The following is a 6,840-nucleotide window of genomic DNA, read 5'->3' on the forward strand; positions in this document are numbered from 1 at the left end:
TTGGAGGATGCTAAGAGATATATAAGGAGTAAAGTTTGATTTCCTACTGAAATTCAAGGATCAGGAAGAGAAAGGAGATACATCTAATTAATATAATTCCAAACTAAAATTCTATGTGATATTAAAATGACCAGAAACAGGGTGACCAGAGAATAGTGAGGACATGTTAAGTCACCTATTTTCTTGGAAGGGAGAGAATGGCAGTTATAGATATACGAATTTATGACAAAAGCATCAGTTTTAATAAATTGTTAATGAAAAATAAAAGTATATAACTTTCAAACCAGCTGAAGAAAATCTTGTATTTCTGAGGAACTTGGGAGCCTTAGCCTGGAAATCTCTTTAAAAGCAGAATATGAGACAAGGGCTTTTATATAGATAGTTTATTTTGGAAAGCGATCCCAGTGAACAGGAGTGGAGAAGAGAGTGAATGAAACAGGGAAGGAAAGGAGGAAAAACTAACACAAGGATGCATTAAGGAACTGTGGAAAATGTTTCTCACAATTTTCTTCCCAAGGGTTGATAAAGGGAGGCGTATTGAATAATAAGCAAGAAGCAAGAGCTGTAAGATGCAGGTGAGGCAGTGCTGTCAGGTTATACCAATGAAAAGTTGATCACCCCAGGAAGGCCTGGAGTAAGAGGAAGGAAGAGTGTGTGCAGGGCACAAGAGATAGCTGATATAATAGAGAAAAAAGAAGAAAGAAAATGTAGAAAGAATGATAAGAGAACACATAAAATTATATAGTAGAAATTTGTCCTAACAGAATAATAATTATAATAAATATTCACAAATCAAAAGACATAAATATTCAGGCTGGGTAACAGAACACGAGCAATGTGTCTTTTAAAAAGATAGATTTAAAATAAAAAGATTCAAAAAAAATTAAAAATAAAAGATAAGATGTATCAGGCAAATAAGAAAGCATTAAAAGTTGGGCGAGGAAGCCAGAGTTCCTAAGATGATTCTCAGTAATTGACCCACAAAGAGTCTGAAGTAAGCAATGATTTAAAAGATTTAAGCAACATAATAAATTTGAACTAATATTTATAGATTTGTATACCCATCAAACAAACAAAAATTCGTATTCTTTTAAAGTACAAATGGAACACACAAAAATTGATTATGCCACAAAGGAAGAAAATTCTTCAACAAATTCCAAAAATTCAGCATCACACAGACTACATTTGCTGCACATAATGAAATGAATTTAGGTGGTAAAAATGCAAAACAATCACTCTAGCAATGACTTATGTGAGGAAACCAAACATATATATAATTAAATAACTACATACATACATGCATATATATAACTAAATACATACATATATTACATACATGCATAAATGCATATATATCTACATAAATACATATAACTAACTCTTAGGTTAAAGATTTAATCATAACAGAATGTATAAAATACATAGAAAGCACCACATATCAAAATTTCTGGGATACAGCTTATGGTGTGAGGCCTGAAATTAATATTCAATACTATATGCTGCCTTGACATCTGAAACGAGAGGACCTCAAAAGCCTAACCATGAGTTTTCCTGCTCTCACCAGATATGCTGTACCACCCAGTGGGAAAGACTCCCCACCTAGCCAGTTCATCAGTCAGCTAGACCAGCAGATAGATGCTGCACCCCACCTAGTCTTTAACCAAATGGGTTTCACTCCCCTACCAGCCCATGAAGTTATTCAAACAAGCCAATCACATCCTCCTGTGGGAACCAGGGGTCACCTCACCCTCTCGCTGCTATAAAGCCTGCCTCCCACGTCCCTGCTTGTTCACTCTGTCCCCTAGGGTAACTCTCTGTGGCTCAGCATGATGTGTGGTGTGCTCTCCAAGGCTGTGATGACATGTGACTGACATACTGCTGTCAATCTCATCTCTCCAACAAGATGAGTAGGAGGCCATCAAAGTATAGCTAATGTGGAATATAGAAGAAATTTAAAAGATTTAAATACATTTATTATGAACACCAAGAAAGTCTGAAAACAAATGAGCTGAGAATTCAACTGAGAAAGCTAGAAAAGGGGCAAGAGAATAAACTGAAAGGAAAAGGGAGAAAAAATAGTGGATAAAGAGGGAAAAAAACCTAATGAAATAGAGAGTAACAATGATAAAACCTAGGTAAAATATATAAATTTTGAGAAAAAACATAAAATGTATAATTGGCACAAGAAGAAATAGAAAAGTTTAATGGACCAATGCAATGAAATATTTTATGGTAATCAAAGCATTTTTACAATTTTGGAGTTGAGTTTTACCAAATTGTTACAGAACTGTTAAATTTTATATGAGTTATTCCAGAAAATAGAAAAAGAGGAAAAGCTGCCTAAGTAATTTTGTAAAGCCAGTAAAACCTTGATTTCAAATCCAGATGAAAAGAGTGCAAGAAAAAAAAAAGTAGGTCTATTTCACTTATGAACATAGATGAGAAAATTATAAATTAAACTATTAGCTAATGGAATCAAACAGTGTATATTAAAAAACAATATCATAATCAAGCATAATCTTGGGAATGCAAAGATGATTTAACATGAAAATATGTATTAAGAGACTAAAAGAGAAAAGGTCTATATTATTCAAATACCTATGGAAAAAGAATTTGATAAAAACTACTGAAAAGACCTATTATTTGAAATAAACTCTTTTCCCTAGGTGAAGCCTATCTGTTAAAAATTTCTAGTCAGCATTATACTTAATAAAGAAACTTTGAAGGTTGGCTGCTATAATCACCATTGTTTGATATGATATCAAAAGTCCTGGCCAAACAACATTAAAAAACAAAATAAGAGACGTGGGATTAGAAAGAATCAAACAACTGCCATTTCTTATATCTACATGAAAAACTCAAAGGGATTAGTAGACAAAATATTAGGAGGATTAAGAGAGTTTAGCAAGTTTGCCAAACAAAATCAGTTTAAAAAATTCAACCACCAATAATTAGCAAAAAACATTACTACAAAGAAGACACCATGTATAGTAACAACAAAACTATGGTGCCTAGGAGGTAACTTGTGTGTAATGCACAAACCTTCATGGAAAATTTTTAAACTCTATTAAAAAAGAAGAAAAAAAATCTGAGTAAATAGAAAGATGAAATGTTTGTTGCACGACAATGTAACCTTTTTTCTCCTACTATTGATTTGAAATGTTAATAAGATTCTAGCAGGATGTTTTTAGAAATTTAACCAACTTAATATAAGATGTACATAGAAGAATAAAAGTTCCCAAATGCTAGGACAATTTTGAAAAAATAAGAGCAAAGCAGGTTGATTAATCTTAGACTTTGACACACCATTGACTCTTAGTAATGGAGACAACATGGTATTTGCACAAAGATAGACGAATAGACCAGTATAATTGGACAGAGTGTTTGTAAACAGACTCCTGTACATATCAAACCTGGTGTATGATTGCAAAGCATCACAAATTGGTGGATAAAAATGGATTTTTAATATATGATGCTGGCTAATCTGGTTTACTATATAGAGAAAAATAAAGTGACTGTATTTTACATCATATGTAAAAGGTGAACTCCAAATGAATTAAAGATGAAAAAGTACAAGGCAAAACTAAAAAGCTAATAAAATAAAATTTAAAAGACTATTTTCTAATTTAATATTGAGGAACAACTTCTTGGATCAAAGAAGCACAAAAAATACTGACCCAAACTGATGGCTACAACTATGTAAAATTTAAGAGTTTATCTTCATTGAAGGGCACCATACGCAAGGCTAACAGAGAGGTCATTGGAAGAAAATATTTGCTAGCCCCAAAACTGGAATAAACAAACACTTCCTAGAAATTACAAAAATGAAAACACAGAGGAAAAAAAAAACATGGCTACAGAAGTGATGCACGAAATGGAAAATCCAAATAGTTAATGGGTATGTGAAGAGATGTCAACCTCACTAGTAATCAGGGTGGTGGGGAGGGGGTGAAGAAGCAAATTGTATCATGTTTTACTAATGAGAGAGGTACAAATTAGATGGGATAATACCAAGTGTTGGTGAAATCTGGGAGGAAACAGGAATCCTAGTGCTGCTGGTAGGGATGGAAACAGGAATAGCCATTTGGGAGAGTAATCTGTCATTACTTATGTTAGAGAAAACTATGTATTTGTACACATCTACATGCATATGTATATAAACATATAAATTATATGCATATATTTTCTCTATTTGGTGACCTATCAGTCACACCCCTGAGCTTATACCCTAGAAAATATTTTCACAGACCCATAAATAGTCACATATGAGGATATTCATGTGAGGTGGTATGTGTAAAAGTGACTTAGAGGCAACCTAGATCCAATCAATAGGAAATGTATAAATAAAACGTAGCAGATGCATATTATTTGGAATTCCATACGGTAGTTAGAAGCAATACACTAGATGTACATACAGCAACTGGATAGATTTTTAAAAATTGTGTTAGGTTACCAAAGCAGTGGACATATTAATACAGTTTTCAAAGATATATGCATATCAAAGGATATAATTACACAAATTAAGAGTGACTATTAGAGTGGCTGTCTGTTGGTGGAGTGGGCATTGGGGTTGAAAGGGGGAGAATTAGAAGTAAATCAAGACAGAAGAGCTGCCTAGATCCAAGGACCCAAAAGTGTCATGCATACAACTATGTTTCGGGAGTCCAGGAGGAAAAAAAGAATCCCCAATGCCTAGTTGTCTAATTGTTCATACAAATTATCCCATAATCCCCGAGTACAGGACGTACACACACACACACACACACACACACACACACACTGAAAGAGCCAAACCAGGCAAAACTGTTTTTAAAGCCTTACCTGGAAGTGTTTATTTTTATATATAACCACTAGTCAAATCAATTAAAGCAGTTGAAAACTGGCTTGTGCTTTTATTTGCTTCTTCTCCTTGGAATTCTCTGCACAGTAAGCGCCCCACTCCATCACTTTACTCCCCAACAACTTTAGAGAATCAGTAATATCAAATGCTGAAAAGTAACTTGCAAAACCCAGATATAATTCAAATTAATTTAGTCAAAATGTATCCACTTTTTGTATCAAACCTTTTTTGCACAGGTTAATTGAAGAATCTAATTAAGCAGCAATTTTGACTACCGGATTGCCAACATGAAATTAAACTCAAAACTTCTCCTCTTGCTCAATGTTTAAATTCTCATATGAAACGTCAAGAAGATGTTTCATCTACATTATTGAAAGAGAAAGCTCAGTTTCCAAGCAGAATTTAACTTCCCAAGAAATTGAAAAAATATAATGTTTAGCTGGAGTACTGCTACGCTCCAAACAATCCCACTAAAAGTACCCAAATGTTAATAGTTAATATTTATTCAGAATTTACTAAATTCCATGCAGTAGCTAAGCATCTCACATATACCTCATGAAGTGGTATTATTTCCTTGGTTTCCTTTTTTCAAGTGAGGAAACCAAGTTTTAAAGATGGACAGTATTTAGTTGAAAATTACATAGCAACTAAATTGCCAAAATGATAAAAGAAAAACAGGTTTAAGAGGTATTTCCTCTTTCTCATAGGAAATGCTTTGTATATATCTGTAATGGGGCAGATAAGTAGATTCTGAATTTCAAGGGTTAATACTAGGTAGAAAGTGGGTGATGTGATGAGACACGCCTTTTCCTGGTAACAGGCAAGGTGCTACTCTCCTTCTGATGAACTTGCTTACCTGCCCGATATTTTTGGCCTACATAGTATATGCTTTTTCTGTTCTCTGGAACTCACAGTATAATACCTCAGTTCATTTGCTGTCCAAATCAAACATCAATGCACAGTCAGCCTGGAGGACCTGCTGTGGCTCTGTTACTAAGTTCTGTTTTCACTTAAGAGAAAAGAACATCTTCAGTGACCCTTATTTTCCAAGAAGTATTTGTCAAAACTCATTGTGCAAGAAACTCTTTGGCATCTGTTTCCAAGGTCAGTAACTCTTACTCAGTCATGACAGTCCATCATTCTCTTTCTTTTTTTTTATTCTTTTATTGTCCTTCCTACCTTTTTTCTTTCCTTCTTTTCTCCCTTCCTTCCTTCCTTCCTTCCTTCCTTCCTTCCTTTCTTCCTTCCTATCTCAAGACAGGGCAGGCAGTTTCTATTATATATACGAACTAAACTTTCTTAAGAAGCAAGATTGCCTATGAAAAATTGGCAAGAAGTCATGATAGTTAAAACATTAGTGTATATACTAAAAAACAACAACAACAAAATACTAAAGCAGGAAATAAGAGACTGGTTCCTAACCCTCTTGCAGTTTCTCTGATATTCGGCAATTGACCCTTTTGAGCCTCTGTTTTGTCATCTGTAAGACGACTGTATTGGACAAATGATTTCTAATGTCCCTATTAAAATTTAATGTGGTCCTGGCCAACTGAATGCGTAATTTGAAACAAAATGGAATGAGACTGGCTAAGAAAACGCTGAGGATACAATATATGAAGGCTAACTATGTATCAGCACAGCAAATGTGACCTAAGCGTCATGAAGGATAACACGATAATGAGAAAGTCAAAGGTAGGAGGCTCTGGGCCTAATAATAAGCACTTGTGATTCTTAAATTTGGGTTAATTAGTTTGCATCACAATGTAATCCTTTCATGATGGATGGTTGTAGCCAGCGCTCCTCTAGAAAGAGGAGCTGATGCTCTAATTCTCAAAAAATTTTACCTGGTGTCTTAAATGTGATTTTTAGCATTATTGGAATGACAGACTTCTTGGAGAATCTGTTAAAACCTAGGCCCTCTACTCAGAAAAAATGCAAATATGCACATACATTATTTTACATGAAAGTTTAGTAGTTTGTAGATTTCAAAACTTCAGCCT

This window comes from Homo sapiens, chromosome 7 (assembly GCF_000001405.40).
Source record: "Homo sapiens chromosome 7, GRCh38.p14 Primary Assembly".
In the NCBI taxonomy this organism is placed as follows: domain Eukaryota; kingdom Metazoa; phylum Chordata; class Mammalia; order Primates; family Hominidae; genus Homo; species Homo sapiens.